This window comes from Homo sapiens, chromosome 8 (genome assembly GCF_000001405.40).
Source record: "Homo sapiens chromosome 8, GRCh38.p14 Primary Assembly".
In the NCBI taxonomy this organism is placed as follows: domain Eukaryota; kingdom Metazoa; phylum Chordata; class Mammalia; order Primates; family Hominidae; genus Homo; species Homo sapiens.
The window spans coordinates 30,096,401-30,113,443 of NC_000008.11; the positions used below are offsets into that span (position 1 = coordinate 30,096,401).

Here is a 17,043-nt window from a genome sequence, read left to right on the forward strand (position 1 = left end):
GGGCAGTCAGGCAGGAAGCAGGTAACTTTGGGAGCAGTGGTTTTCTTTGTATTTTTTCTTCTCTAAGGAAAACTTAATCGAGTTTTTTTTCAGGGTCACAGTCTTACTGTTTCTTGTTTATTTTCAATGTCTGAAAACATTTCATTTCCCATATAAAACCTTGTCATTTAAGCAACTGGGATACTTTGTAATCTCCTTTTGAACTATGATAGACTCTAAACCCTTATGTGAAAGGCAGTTATTGTGAATTGCTGTGGTTTTTAGGATGTTGCCCGTTTCCCTGTTCTTCCCTGTTTCTTCAGTGTCAATAATGCGGGGGTCTCTTAAGAAAATAGCTTTGTAATTTACTTCTCCAGACCTAGGGAAATACTGCATTAAACTGATGAAGGTGCCTCAGGTGAACTGCACTTTTGATTTCAGCAGGATTTTCTGGTTGTTATGAGTCAGTATGTTTCTTTCTCTTGGCCTAATATCTTTATATTAGGAAGGAGTGTTGCTGTAATTAGAGACCATTAGGCATTGCTTGAGCCATTTGTCTATTACTTTTTGATATATTGGATTTTCTGGTAACTCCCAGGTTAGAGAAGTGGTCCCTCCTTCTACTCTAATTTCTTTGTAATCACAGAATCAGCATCTTGTCTCTAGAGAGTTTTGCTAGATAATTGGGCTGCTCCATGCCTAGCCTAGAGGCTTTGGGAGTAGAACCCAGACTTATCTAAGCTTTGTCTTCCAAATGTTGCATCACTCAATTACTGTATGAATTCTTGCCTTGTTGATGTGTCATTTAAGAAACAGCTTATATACAAATGATGAAGTGTATATATAAATCTTCCTAGTTGCCAATTTCATAAGATTGAAGAAACTGCAAGTTTTGAGAACACTTTTAAGCAATTTATTTAACCTCTAATTGGCTACCTTATTCGGTATGACTGGAAGATGAGATGTCACATCAAACTGTGTTATGAATATTTAAAAAAAATTTAGTATTTAATCCTGGCGCGGTGGCTCACACCTGTAATCCCAGCACTTTGGGAGGCCGAGACGGATGGATCATGAGGTCAGGAGTTCAAGACCAACCTGTCCAAGATGGTGAAACCCCATCTCTACTAAAAATACAAAAAAATTAGCTGGGCATGGTGGCAGGCACCTGTAATCCCAGCTACTCAGGAGGCTGAGGCAGGGAATTGCTTGAACCCGGGAGGCAGAGGTTGCAGTGAGCCAAGATTACGCCACTGCACTCCAGCCTGGGCAACAGAGTGAGACTCTGTCTCAAAAAAAAAAAAAATATATATATATATACACACACACACACACACACACACACACATATTTAGTATTTAATGGAGTAGAAGTATTATCTCAAGGTATCTTGATTCCCCCAAACAAATGTTATTCCAGTATTCATATTCATAGCACTTACAATAAGACAATCTTGGTTTATGTTTTTAAAATTGTTTTTTGATACCTGAGCCTTATCTCATTTTAGTCCCTTGGTTTTTTTTTTTTTTTAAGGAATCATTTTTCATTAACTTTGTAAGAGTGTAATCAAAGAATTTAGGCCTTCTTTTTTGATAAAAACTTGAATGACTGTTCTCTGTCACAGAACAGCCACCTTCAGAGGCCCTCATGGTCCTAAGGTGGCTTGCCTCTTGCGGAGATTACCGTGAACATGCTTTTTGAGATTTTTCTGCCTGGTTTAAATTTTTTTTGTTGTTTCCTCCCTCCTGTCAAAGGGCAATTCTTGCTTGTATGCAACTCTTTCTCCTAATTCCCATTTGTTTCAGTGTGGGAAGATAAACTTAGAAAATTTTGTGTCACAAGGTATATAGGTAATAGTGATTACTTTTGATAAGAGAAAGTTCCTTTTCACTTAATTTTTGTTCTGGGTATATGAATTACCTATTGAAAAATATATATAAGTGAGCATAGATGATTCTTTAAAATAAAAATGTGTTTTACTCTGAATTCCCATCTAACAATTGTGTCACGAAAATGAGTTAGTATAAATAAGAACTTAAGGGTCTGTTTATAGAGAATGTTGGCTTTAGTATATGGGCTTTGTAACATCTATTTTGTCTCTTTTTAGTGGCCTTTGTTTTCTCCAGGATTCTAAGTTGCGTATAAATGGCTTCTGAATGAATGAGGTGTTACTAGGTAGTATTTATAGTAATGGACTTAGCTGTCTTAACAGTACCTTTAGTGTTCAGAAAATTATCTGCATTTAAGATCTAGTCCAACTGTCATTTTAGAGAAGGAAGAACTGAGACTCATAAATTACTTGGACAACTAGTTAGTAACTATTAGGGCCTTGGACCCTCCAGAGTCTCAGTTCCATGCTGCTTCCACTCTGCTACATTCATTCCACAAATATTTGTTGAGTGTTAAGAGCCAGGCACGATCATCACAACAGAAAAACTTGCTCCCTCCTTTCGTGAAATGGACAGTTGAGAAGGAAAGACAAAATACAAACCAGTAGGAAATCGCAGCTGATAATTGAGCAAAGGAGAGGCATTCAGTGAACAGAGGACCTCAGCATACACGGGTCTCTGCCAGGAATACTCATCCCAAATACCCACATGATTTCCTCCCTCCCCTCATACAGATCTTTGCTCAGGTGGTGCTTCATCAGAGATGCCTTCCCTGGCCACTGTATCTAGACTAGCACTCCCATCCCTTACTCTACCTGACGTTTGTCATCACTTGACATTTATTCACTTGCTTATTAAAAATCATTTTCTTCTCCCACTAGAACGTGAGAGCAAAAGCTTTGATTGTTGTCATTGCTCTGTCTCCAGTAGCAAGAACAGTATCTGACACACGTTAGGTGCTCCATAGATGTTTGTTAGAGGAATGAATAAATAAATATAACAGGGAATTGGTCTAATCAGGAGGTTTGGAAAAACTTCACTGAGGCCAGGTGCAGTGGCTCACGCCTATAATCCCAGCACTTTGGGAGGCCAAGGTGGGCAGATCGTGAGGTCAAGAGATGGAGACCATCCTGGCCAATGTGGTGAAACCCCGTCTCTACTAAAAATACAAAAAAAAAAAAAATTAGCTAGGCATGGTGGTGCACAGCTGTAGTCCCAGCTACTCAGAAAGGCTGAGGCAGGAGGATGGCTTGAACCTGGGAGGCGGAGGTTGCAGTGAGTCAAGATCGCGCCACTGCACTCCATCCTGGCGACAGCGCAAGACTCCATTTAAAAAAAAAAAAAAAAAAAAAAAAAACCAGCAAAAAAACACTTCACTGGTTGAGCTGAGATCTGAAGGAAAAGCAGGAGTTAAGTTGGAGGAAAGTAGAGAGGAGTGGGAAAGGACCATGCCTCATTCACTGTTGTATCCCTAGTGCTTGTCACATATTTAGTGCTCAGTGAATATTTCTTGAATGAAAAAATGTCTGAGGCAGAAGGGACAAAGTGTGCACAGGCCACGTGAGTGAGCAAGTCTGCTGATTTCCAGGAAAGGAAAGAGGGCCAGTATAACTGAAGTGAGGGTTCAGGGACACTGTAGTAGCCTGGTGTGACACGTCACAGGAGAGGTGGGCAGGGCCCGGTCATGAGAACCAATTTGGAACTGAAGAAAACAAATGGTAAATTCAGTGTTTTCCTTACAGTTTATATTGCATTCCCCTGTAAACTTGAAGTGCCTCGTTTGCTGTAAAGTAAAAATGCAATTCTTTTCCTGTAGCTGGAAATAGAATGGTATTCAGGACTAAGTGATGTGTTCGGGGTTGCCATGACCTGCATCAGCGATCTAACCAAAAACCAAATCTGCCAAGCCACTATGTCATGGGGTGTCCTTGATTATGACTGTTTTAGTTGTGCAGAGTATATCAGTAGTACTTGGCAAAGTTTAACTTGTTTCCTGTTCATTTTGGTTTCTCTATGTTAGCCTTTGTTTTGGTAACTTTTAGACCTTCTACAAATCTTTCGAATTTTAACTTTTGAATTTTAATAAAATGACCTAACAACAACAAAACTAGTTATTTTCTTAGCCACTGTAACTGTAGAAATACAGGTTATATAGAACTCAAAATAAATTTATCATTTACTTATTTATTTATTTTTTTTGAGATGGAGTCTTGCTCTGTCGCACAGGCTGGAATGCAAAGGCGCAGTCTAGGCTCACTGCAACCTACGCCTCCCGGGTTCAAGCAATTCTCCTGCCTCAGCCTCCCAAGTAGCTGGGACTACAGGCATGTGCCACCACACCCAGCTAATTTTTTGTATTCTTAGTAGAGACAAGGTTTCACCATACTGACCAGGCTGGTCTCAAACCCCCAACCTCATGATCCGCCCGCCTTGGCCTCCCAAAGTGCTGGGATTACAGGCGTGAGCCACTGCACTCGGCTATCATTTATTTCTTTGCTTTAGTCTAGGTCATTGGTTAACTATGCCTATTCAAGAAAGTTGTTTCTATTCACTAACGTGAGAGCACCTTAAAATGTACTGCTGTGTGTGTGTGTGTGTGTCTGTGTGTGCGCGCGTAGCTTTAGAAACTATATTTCACCTGTAGAATGCATCTATTGCTTATAATAACATGTTAAAGTAGTGATACCTCAGAAGGATTATAACCCATTGTCCTACAGATTTTCTAATGTAGATTAGGGAAGGAAACCCAGCTCTACTTTTGCAAACTATTTAAAGATTTGCAACAAAATTAATTGATTAAAATCATTAACTACAGATATTCTCGGGCATTTTTTCTGGTCAGTTTTATGCACATTGAGAGTGTATGTGCCAGAAACAGGAGCTGATTAGAAGAGGTTTTCCTATAGGATGAGGTTTCTAAAGTCCAGTAAACTTGAGCATGTGGAGTTTCTCCACATACTGCTTTTCAAAACTGTAGTGATCTGTGAAGTAAATATAATTCTAATGCCCAGAAGAGCATTGAGCCTGTGGACTTTGACTCTTTAGAAAGGGAACCAGCGTCTGGGGAATATGGTGGGGTACTAGCAGTAGGTTAGAGCTTTAAAAATCGGTGTCACTGGCTGGATGTGGTGGCTCACGCCTGTAATCCCAGCACTTTGGGAGGCCAAGGCAGGTGGATCACCTGAGGTCGGGAGTTCGAGACCAGCCTGACCAACATGGAGAAACTCCATCTCTACTGAAAATAGAAAATTAACAGGATGTGGTAGTGCATTCCTGTAATCCCAGCTTACTCAGGAGGCTGAGGCAGGAGAATCACTTGAACCTGGGAGGTGGAGGTTGTGGTGAGCCGAGATCAAGCCATTGGACTCCAGCCTGGGCAACAAGAGTGAAACTCCATCTCACAAAAAAAAAAAAAAAAAAAAAAAAGGCCAGTGTCACTTCATTTTGCCTTGAAGATACCACAGAAGACTTATTCTAAGACTAGATAACTTACACTTCTGATGGCAACTTGCTATTAATACGTTTTAGGGATTTTTGCTTCTGAGGTTACAGATAATGTTCAGACTGCTGATATTAATAAAAATAATATTTAATTTATATTCCTGTTGCACTTTTTATTTGCTTTGCAGCTTTGATTAGTTTGTCCTTTGGAGGAGCAATCGGACTGATGTTTTTGATGCTTGGATGTGCCCTTCCAATATACAAGTATGTAAAATGTTTGTCTTTCTGAATATTTAAGGGTAAAATTTTTCTACTTTTAAAGCTTAAAAAAATGTTTTTTTACTACTGTAAAAGTAATGCAGAGAAATGTTCACTTACCAAACACATACCTTTGTAAAAATCACCACTTAAAGTTTGTTTCTAAAGATTTTAGGACACCAAGATGCAAATAATATTTTTGGCTGTTACCTGCTCTTTCACTACTGCTGAGTCTGCAGTGGCAAGATAGCTACACAGTACCTCAGCCCTCCTGCTCAGTTTTTAACATCTATTGATAATACTAATTACAAGAAAATTTAAAATGTCTTTTTGCAAAAAAATACCATAAGCAGTCAAAACACAATTAAAAAAAAAGAGAGAGATGTAAACAATTACTTTCCGGCCGGGTGCGGTGGCTCACACCTGTAATCCCAGCATTTTGGGAGACCAAGGCGGGAGGATTGCCTGAGGTCAGGAGTTCAAGACCAGCCTGGCTAACATGGTGAAACCCCATCTCTACTAAAAATACAAAAAAATAGCCAGGCGTGGTGACACATGCCTGTAGTCCCAGGTACTCGGGAGGCTGAGGCAGGAGAATCGCCTGAACCCAGGAGATGGAGGTTGCGGTGAGCCAAGATCACGCCACTGCACTCCAGCCTGGGTGATAGAGCAAGACTCTGTTTCCAAAAAAAAAAAAAAAATTTCTTTCCTTAGGATAGAAAGAACTTCTCAAAGTTAACATTTTAACATTTAGATAAATTAGAAAAAGATGGACAACTCAATAGAAAAATAAATACAAAAAGAGAACTACAAATTGCTAATAAGCACATAAAAATATCCCCAGCCTCACTCAAAACTAAACAAAATCTATTGACAAAGACAAGAGACAGGGCAAGCAGGGACTCTTTTGTGCTGTGGGGGGAGTACACATAGATAGTTTTCTTGGAGATAAGTTTGCTTGTAGCTCTCAAAGTATATATTCTTTGAGTTAGCCCTTTCACTTGTTAGACTTTCTGATACAAACCCACTTGCAGATGTTTACAAAGATATATTTAGTGGGGGAGAGTATGGATGTTCAAGCAGCCTTGTTTATTTTTTGGTTTTTGTTTTTGTTTTGTTGTTTTATGCGTTATTTATAAGAGCCAAAAAAAATTCTGAAAACATCCTAAATGTCCTTCAAAAGAAAAATGGTTAAATTATAGTAAATCTTTTAATGGAAATACTAGGCAGTCTTAAAAAGAATGAGGAAGAGCTGTAAGTGCTAACATGTAAATATGTTCAAGACATATTGTTAGAAAACTGCAGGGACCCATTCATATTTTAAAGTTTATGTGGAAATGTGGAAGGGTCCCTGAGAAGCTCAATAGGAAAGTGGGCAAGAGGAGATTTGGAACTTTTAGTCTTTACTTTTTGTGCTTTTGTACTGTTTGAATTATTTTTCTTAAGCATATATTCAATTTTTAATTTTTTTTCTTAAAATATTTAGGAAATGGTCAGGCGCAGTGGCTCATGCCTGTAATCCTAGCACTTTGGGAGGCCAAGGTGGGTGGATCACCTGAGGTCAGGAGTTTAAGACCAGCTTAGCCAACATGGTGAAACTCCATCTCCACTAAAAATACAAAAATTAGCCGGGCATGGTGGTGCACGCCTGTAATCCCAGCTAGTCACGGGGGCTGAGGCAGGAGAGTCACTTGAACCCAGGAGGCAGAAGTTGCAGTGAGCCGAGATCATGCCACTGCACTCCAGCCTGGGCAGCAGAGCGAGACTCTGTCTCAAAAAAAAAAAAAAAAAATTTAGGAAACATAAGTAGCTGCTTATCATTAGCCTCTGTACAATCAGATCTCCACCATGATACCTATTTTATTCTATGGTAGTTTTAAGGGCATCTATTTCTTTTTAACTTTTTATTTTGAAACAATTTTAGATTCTGAAGAAGTTGTGAAAATCATACACAGAGGTCCCCTGTACCCTCCACACAGCCTGCCAGAGTCATAAGATCTTACATAACCATAGTTATCAAAACCAGGAAATGACTGTGGTACAATACAGTTAACTAGATGTAGAGTAAAAGCCATCTATTTTTATTGTGATAAATTCTATATTCTGACTGAAAGTGTTCTTACTTTTAGCTTCTTTTCTGTATTTTGATTTCTGTAATTTGGGAGTTCCTCGTGTTGTAAGGGAAGTTTAGGGTTGTTTCAGCTTTATGCTAAGGTTGGGTATCATCCATTAGAAGTCAAGCGATTGAATCTTGATTTTTTAAAAAGACCATATTTTGTGTGTAGGAAAATGACATAGCAAAAATTACATTAACTTATTTTTCTTTTTCTAGCAAATACTGGCCCCTCTTTGTTCTATTTTTTTACATCCTTTCACCTATTCCATACTGCATAGCAAGAAGATTAGTGGATGATACAGATGCTATGAGTAACGCTTGTAAGGAACTTGCCATCTTTCTTACAACGGGCATTGTCGTGTCAGCTTTTGGACTCCCTATTGTATTTGCCAGAGCACATCTGGTAAGTGAATATATTCTTCCATTAATGATTTTATATTGAACATGTGTTACATTTTTCTCAAGCAAAGTTTTTGTTAATGACATGAAAAGAGGTGAAAGACATAAGAGCCTAGAAGATAGAGATTAAAATCTCACTTTATTGTTTGTTCTTGTTAACTAATAAAAGTGATATTGGAGAACGTGGCTTGGATCTGCAGCAGCTGTTGGCTTGCTAATACTTTTTTTTTTCTTTTTTTTTTTTTTTTGAGATGGAGTCTTGCTCTGTCGCCCAGCCTGGAGTGCAGTGGCGTGATCTCACCTCACTGCAAGCTCTGCCTCCCGGGTTCACGCCATTCTCCTGCCTCAGCCTCCCGAGTAGCTGGGACTACAGGTGCCCGCCACCACGCCCAGCTGATATTTTTTGTGTTTTTAGTGGAGACGAGGTTTCACCGTGTTAGCCAGAATGGTCTCGACCTCCTGACCTCGTGATCCGTCCGCCTCGGCCTCCCAAAGTGCTGGGATTACAGGCATGAGCCACCGCACCCGTCTGGCTTGCTAATACTTAACTGTCAGAGTTGAGCATATCAACTCCCCCAGTGCTGAACAACCCAGGCCTATCCTGTAAAACCTAAAATATGGAAGACCTGAGAAGGTGCATGTGCTCTGCAGGCAGAAAAGCACTGAAGAGGGGAAGGGGCTGGCTACGGGTACTCAGTTCTTCCTCCCAAACTCACTGATCCACGCGCCTTCATCTCTGGGGAGGTAGAGAAGACAGCCATATGGAGAAGGCAATTGTTTTCCCACCCCTTCAAAAGAATGTACATGGGTGTGTTTCCATCTGTGATATGCTAAAATTTAATCTACTCTAGATAGATTTTTATATTAAGGAAGAGTAAGCACATTCCTTTATAAACAGAAACTTGTAGAATTTTATGCTGCTTCTTCATAGCCCAGAAGTCAAGCTTGTTTTTGAATGGTCATTTCATGACTTTCTTTTTAAAGGAACCAAAGGTAAATGAAAATACTAGTATAAAAGTACCACTTTTATACTATAAATATATTTATACTGTATATATTTATATATATTTATACTATATATTTTTTTACTATATATATTTATACTATATATATTTATAAGTATGTGTTCAGCACTGTGACAATTATTGTTACAAGGCATGCTTCTTTTAGATCATAATTGGGATACAACTAGAGCCTTGATTTTTTTTTTTATTTTCCTTTCGTTTTTCATGCCTGTTGACTGAGTGTATCTTATTTCCATAGATTGAGTGGGGAGCTTGTGCACTTGTTCTCACAGGAAACACAGTCATCTTTGCAACTATACTAGGCTTTTTCTTGGTCTTTGGAAGCAATGACGACTTCAGCTGGCAGCAGTGGTGAAAAGAAATTACTGAACTATTGTCAAATGGACTTCCTGTCATTTGTTGGCCATTCACGCACACAGGAGATGGGGCAGTTAATGCTGAATGGTATAGCAAGCCTCTTGGGGGTATTTTAGGTGCTCCCTTCTCACTTTTATTGTAAGCATACTATTTTCACAGAGACTTGCTGAAGGATTAAAAGGATTTTCTCTTTTGGAAAAGCTTGACTGATTTCACACTTATCTATAGTATGCTTTTTGTGGTGTCCTGCTGAATTTAAATATTTATGTGTTTTTCCTGTTAGGTTGATTTTTTTTGGAATCAATATGCAATGTTAAACACTTTTTTAATGTAATCATTTGCATTGGTTAGGAATTCAGAATTCCGCCGGCTCTATTACTGGTCAAGTACATCTTTTCTCTTAAAATTATTTAGCCTCCATTATTACAAAAAATTATAAAAATAAGTTTTCAGTCAGTCAGGATGACATCACTCCCAATGTTATGCAGACATACAGACGGTTGGCATACGTTATAGACTGTATACTCAGTGCAAATATAGCTGCATTTATACCTCAGAGGGGCCAAGTGTTAATGCCCATGCCCTCCGTTAAGGGTTGTTGGTTTTACTGGTAGACAGATGTTTTGTGGATTGAAAATTATTTTATGGAATTGCTACAGAGGAGTGCTTTTCTTCTCAATTGTTAGAAGAATTTATGTTAAACTTTAAGGTAAGGGTGTAAAAACATTTTTGAGATAAGGTTTTTATTTATGTTTATTATTGTTAGAGTGAGTTGCAATGTGGGAAGAAATGACATTGAAATTCCAGTTTTTGAATCCTGTTTCTATTTATAAGTGAAATTTGTGATCTCCTATCAACCTTTCATGTTTTACCCTGTTAAAATGGACATACATGGAACCACTACTGATGAGGGACAGTTGTATGTTTGCATCATATATGCCAGAAAACCTTCCTCTGCTTCCTCCTTTTGACTTATTTGGTATGTTGTATATATTACATAAAATAACTTTTCAAATATAGTTTAATAACACTTAGAAGTGTTTACTTACCTGGAAAATAATTGCTATGCCGTACATTCAGAGTGCCCCCTCCCCTGCAAGGCCTTGCCATGATTAACAAGTAACTTGTTAGTCTTACAGATAATTCATGCATTAACAGTTTAAGATTTAGACCATGGTAATAGTAGTTCTTATTCTCTAAGGTTATATCATATGTAATTTAAAAGTATTTTTAAGACAAGTTTCCTGTATACCTCTGAACTGTTTTGATTTTGAGTTCATCATGATAGATCTGCTGTTTCCTTATAAAAGGCATTTGTTGTGTGAGTTAATGCAAAGTAGCCAAGTCCAGCTATATAGCAGCTTCAGAAACATACCTGACCAAAAAATTCCCAGTAACCAGGCATGATCAATTTATAGTGGTCGTTTACATCTAATAATTATCAGGACTTTTTTCAGGAGTGGGTTATAAAAACATTCAAGTTGGTCTGACAGTATTTTGTTAAGGATATTTGTTTGTATGTTTATTCAGTATACTTACATAAAAATTATTTCGCCATCAGCCAAAACTCAGTAATCATGACAGCTGTCTGTTGTTTTATGAAGTTTATTTCTCAAGAAAATGGGAATAAATTTGGGATTTGTTCAGCTTTTTTACTAAAGATGCCTAAAGCCACAGGTTTTATTGCCTAACTTAAGCCATGACTTTTAGATATGAGATGACGGGAAGCAGGACGAAATATCGGCGTGTGGCTGGAGCCTTCCCACTGGAGGCTGAAAGTGGCTTGTGGTATTATAATGTTCAGATTTCAAGAGGAAGGTGCAGGTACACATGAGTTAGAGAGCTGGTGAGACAGTTGGGAACTCTTTGTGCTTGTGATCTACTGGACTTTTTTTTGCAGGAAGTGCATTCTCTGGTCCTTCCCTATTTTCTGTTCTGGATGTCAGTGCAGTGCACTGCTACTGTTTTATCCACTTGGCCACAGACTTTTTCTAACAGCTGCGTATTATTTCTATATACTAACTGCATTGGCAGCATTGTGTCTTTGACCTTGTATACTAGCTTGACATAGTGCTGTCTCTGATTTCTAGGCTAGTTACTTGAGATATGAATTTTCCATAGAATATGCACTGATACAATATTACCATTCTTCTATGGAAAGAAAACTTTTGATGATGAAACAATAAAGATTTTAAATATCTATTTTAGTTTGTGGGTGTTTTTGAAATGAAAATATATGGCACACTTTCATTCTGAAGTGCATTAACATTCTAATAAGGTGATGTAAAGCAAGATGACATTGGTGTAATGTTAGAGTTGCAGAAGTTTCCATTCCAAAATAAAATGGAAACCATAGTTACAGATATTACAATGCAGCCCTGTAATTTTGAGCTGTAGTAAAAGGATTGGTAATCTGGGAAGTAGAATTTTTACAAAATCTTTTACAAAAATAGTCATAAAAGGTTTTGTTGACATTTAAGACTACTACTGATCTAAAGGCAAGGTCCTACTTCTTAAATTTTCAGAACATTTTTATGACTTCTTATTATGTATTTATTACCACTCATTATTATAGCATGTTACTTTTTGCAAACATTTTAAACAAAAAATATTTCTGTTTGGTACACTGTGAAGAGAGAAAAGTACTGTTCTGTATTTTCAAATATTAGTCGTGTCCCAAATTGTCCTAATTATAATCTTATCATATACTTTAAAAAGTTTAGGCTGTGGACACTAAATGTCTGCTCTAATATGATTTTGGGGACATTGTCAATACAGATTTTTTTTTTTTTTTTGAGACTTGCTTTGTGCCCAGGCTGGAGTGCAGTGGTACGATCTTGGCTCACTGCAACTGCTAGGTTCAAGCGATTCTCATACCTCAGCCTCCTACGTAGCTGGGATTACAGGCATAGGTCACCACACCTGGCTAATTTTTGTATTTCTTGTAGAAACATGGTTTTGCCATGCTGGCCACACTGGTCTCAAACTCCTGGCCTCAAGTTATCGCCCTGCCGCTCAGCCTTCTGAGTAGCTGGGATTATAGGCCTGCACCACCACGCCTGGCTAATTTTCGTATTTTTTGTAGAGATGGGGTTTTGCCATGTTGGCCACGCTGGTCTCAAACTCCTGGCCTCAAGCCATCACCACCACAACCCCCCTCAAACCACCCCCCCGCCCCGAAAAAAAGTGCTGGGATTACAGGCGTGAGCCACCACACTTTGGCCAAAATAATCCAGATTTCTAAAGTCTAGGATATTTATATTGAATGTGACTAGATTTTTAAGTTTCAGATAACTTTTAATCAATGCACCAAAGTTAACAAGCAACACAACGTTATTGTTAAGTGGTATGTGTGTTTTAGATCCCAGGATGCTTTATGATGTATACGATTGGTGGGAAATTGAAATTCGTATTTCTTCTCTATAAGCTTGTATTGCCCTTTCTTTCAGTGAAGATTAGGAGCTCTGATTTTATTACAGGTCTGTTCATTTTATGGCATTCTCAAGGAAGAAAACATGTCCTGTAGGTAAATATTTTAGATCAATGAAGCTTAGCTTACTAAGAACTAATGTTTGTTTTACTTTAATCATTTGATGAAAGTATTAAATGGATTGTACACATGTGCTTTCTTAGAATATATTAAAACACTTTAATTTTTCCTTGGTAATTTAGGACTATCATCATAAACTATTTCCCCCCCATTGTAAGTGGCTGCCGACCTGTATTTTTCTGGAATTGTGTTTTTGATCCTTTTCATACAACTGAGTATTTGTTTCTAGCACCCCTTAACTTATTTTGTTTCCAAGTTGCTGACTTACAGTATATTAGGAAGAGTGGAAAGTGGTCAAGAAAAAAATAAGGCAACCAAGCTTATTAAATCAATTATGTAACATTTCTGTACACAGTACATCAGTGGACTTAATTAGGGTGCCTCCTACCTCTTACACAAATGAAATGCTTTGTGACAGGTATTCTTCCTCTTGAAAGGCTTTTTTAAGAAAAAAATAATTTTTAACTGTATACTAGATAATCTGAGATTGCAAAAGGAGCACCAGATAAGGGAGGTGTTACCATGCTGTGCAGCAGAAGAAGGCTTATAATTAAGTTTACTACACTTTAATGTTGGGGTTATTCTGAGCTCAAGATACTCATAGACCTTTGTCTGATTTCCAGGGTCTTATATCTCACTTCACCCTTTGTGTTTAGTTACTGAAAGTTTAGGGATGAAGATAGATTTACAGTTTATTTTTACAAGAAACTTTATACTGTATGCTTTGCTTCCAGTCTCTTGAAGATTATTTGAATTCATCTGTGGGTTTATGCCCATACACATGGTTAGTCACAGTAATTCAGATATTAACTGTTAAGCTTGTAAATTCTAGCAGAGGGTGGTGGGAACAGAGCAAATCCAAACCTGTTTCTATGAGTGAGAGATTAAGACCATAAAACACTTATCTTTCAACTGTAATTCTGCAGAGTTTTGTATTTAGAGGCAGTACTCCGTGTGTGTGTGTGCGTGCGCGCGTGTGTGTAGTGGGGGCAGAATCAGGAATTTTTTTTTACTTCAAAAGCCAGTAGAGGCTGGGCATGGTGGCTCACACCTGTAATCCCAGCATTTTGGGAGGCTGGGTTGGGGGGCGGTGCGGATCACTTGAGGTCAAAAGTTCGAGACCATCCTGGCCAACATAGTGAAACCCCATCTCTTCTAAAAATACAAAAATTAAGTCGGGTGTGGTGGTGGCGCCTGTAGTCCCAGCTACTTGGGAGGCTGAGGCAGTAGAATCGCTTGAACCCAGGAGGCAGAGGTTGCAGTGAGCCAAGATCACGCCACTGCACTCCAGTCTGGGTGGCAGAGTGAGACTCTGTCCCAAAATAAAAAAAAAGCAAATAGAATGTCTAATACTATGAAAGAGAAGCGTTGTGGCAGTTTACAACCATAGAAACCAGCCAATAGAATAAAATACTAAAGAATAAACCTGAGTATTTCCATATCTGTTTGTAAAAGCATTAGTATTTATTAATTATCTTGATATATAGTGTGTCTGGCATTTAATATTGGAAGTATCTTTTTCTCTTGGTAGATCAGTTTATTGTATAATATCATGTAAATACAACTGTGACATAAAAGTAAATGAACTTGTGTAGATTTGGGAACCTCCCCAAAATAGGACAGATGTTTTCCTGAAAGCTAGGTTTACTTATGTCATCTATTTGAAGATTGTTTCTGAAAGGGTTTACAATTGAAACAACTTCCTAGGATTAAACCAAGTGTAGGTGGATTTATTTTTGTCAGGGAGGGTCTAAATCATCAACTTCCAAAACATAAGCAAGAATTGGCTCTAAACATTAACTGAGTGTAGCAGTGAAGACAAAGGTGTTAGTCCCTAAGAATTAAAAGAAAAAGAAGATGGTTTTGAGCTATACTTCATACTACAAATGATGTTTGTCATTTACTAATTTAAATGGCCTAGTAATTATTTAAATTAAATAATTTATTATCAACTAAATCCAAACAGTGCTTAAAACAGTGATTTCAAAAATATATACATTTAAAAACCCAGATGCTAAGAAATGTCCAGTGTATTAGGTAGAAACAACTTGGTGTTCACATCTCTGTATTTCACTTCGGCTATGTCATGAGGTAGTTATGCTGAAATTCCGCATTTGGTTTCAGCTTTTCCTCTAGAAAACTTCCTTGTTCCCAGTGGCAGTTACATGCCGCATTCCAGGTACTACTGGAAACAGGAAAATCTTGGAGCACAGTCCCTCTCTGAAGTGGTAATCTAATGAGATAAGAGAGACAGAAATATATCGAAGCCAATTCATCTCCAAGCCAAGAGAGAAGTGTGGAGTTCACGGAAGGGAAAGATTTGGGAGACAGAAAGAGGTCGGGTGGGGGGTGGTTTTCTGTTGCTCTGGTGGGTCTTGTGCCAGCCAGCAGGGTCACAGGATGTGAGAATTCCTTTGGAGCAGCAGTCTGGGGTTCTTCAGCATCCTGAGGTTTCAGAGGCAGTTGGGGACAGCTTTTTGATTCTGACACGATGATCTCTGGATCCCAGATACCATGGAGATATAAAAAGTGGTGAGACTCAGGCTATATTTTAAAGGAATAAAAGCAGGTTTGCTGATGAGTTGTGTGGAAGACAGAGTGGAGTCAGTGATGACTACCAAGTTTTTGCTCATCCATATCACCTGGATAGGAGTAAAGGAGTAGTAAGGGAGAAATGGAAAATAAAAATCAAGGTTCTGGAACACAGATCCAAACTGGTTCATCATATCCACCTGTTACCCAGACATGCCACAATTTGCTTTGTTTCAGACCCTTGCCAAACAAAACACTATTCAGAGTTGGGACGCTAACTTTGTAACCATTTTTCTTTTCTTTCTTTGAGATGGAGTCTTGCTCTGTCGCCCAGGCTGGAGTTCAGTGGTGTGATCTCGGCTCACTGCAACCTCCACCTCCTGGGTTCAAGCGATTGTCCTGGCTTAGCCTCCCGAGTAGCTGGATCACAGGTGTGCGCCACCATGCCCAGCTAATTTTTTTTTTTTTTTTTTTTTTTTTTTTTTGGATTTTTGGTAGGCACAGGGTTTCACCATGTTGGCCAGGCTGGTCTCAAACTCCTGACCTCAGGTGATCTACCCACCTCGGCCTCCCAGAGTGCTGGGATTACAGGCATGAGCCACTGCACCCGGCCTTTGTAACCATTTTCTAAATTCCTGGAGGGTTTACATGGTAGCACACATCACAGCATAGGGGCTACATACCAGGTTCTGGAGGCAGACCACCCAACTTCTAGCTCTTCTTGATGCTAGTGGTGTAACCTTAGCCGAGTTATTTAACCCGTGTCCCATTTCCACATCTATAAAGTGAAGATACTAATAGTATCTACCTCATAAAGTGGTGAGATTTAAATGTAACCCACAGAGAGCTCACATAGATAGTGAATGTTAGATGTTCGCTGTTGCTTTCACTGTTTCTTACCAATTGCCTGTATTGCTAAGCAGTTTCCTCTTTTAAGAGGGCAAACTTTTTAAAAACACATTTTAACGATCTACTGGACTAAGCATATTGATCCTCCCTACCCCTACTCCTGCACCGAATCTTAGAAATGATACCCTTTTTGGCCAGGTGCAGAGTGGCTCACCCCTGTAATCCCAGTACTTTGGGAGGCTGAGGCTGGCGGATCACTTGAGGTCAGGAGTTTGAGACAGCCTGGCCAATATGGTGAAACCCCGTCTCTCCAAAAAAAAAAAAAAAAAAATTAGCCGGGTGTGGTGGCTCATGACTGTAATCCCAGCTACTCCGGAAGCTGCGGCAGGAGAATCGCTTGAACCTGGGAGGCAGAGGTTGCAGTAAGCCGAGATTGCACCACTGCATTCCAGCCTGCAAAACAGAGCAAGACTGTCACAAAAACAAAACAAACAAAGAACAGAGAAATACATGGGCAAAGTTAAAACAAGAAGGGGAAGCCTTGGTGGATCTGAAACTAAGAAATTTCTGAGAAAACGAAAACATACGGGATCGTATTGAAGAGGGAAACTGCAGCCTAAAATGCTGCTAGCAAGCGTGGGAGAATAC

The 17,043-nt window shown here is 38.9% G+C and overlaps 1 protein-coding gene across 2 annotated transcripts in view; it reads left to right on the forward strand.

The window, feature by feature from the left end:
• Nucleotides 1-17,043, forward strand: part of LEPROTL1 (leptin receptor overlapping transcript like 1) — a 42,941-nt gene that overhangs the window by 993 nt on the left and 24,905 nt on the right. The window contains exons 2-4 of one of the 2 annotated variants that reach the window (NM_015344.3): nt 5,498-5,573; nt 7,900-8,086; nt 9,346-12,124. In NM_015344.3, the coding sequence (NP_056159.2) occupies nt 5,498-5,573; nt 7,900-8,086; nt 9,346-9,462 (380 nt within the window). In that variant the 3' untranslated portion in view covers nt 9,463-12,124. Of the gene's footprint in view, nt 1-5,497; nt 5,574-7,899; nt 8,087-9,345; nt 12,125-17,043 lie in introns of those variants that run through there. The other variant, NM_001128208.2, reaches the window with a different exon arrangement.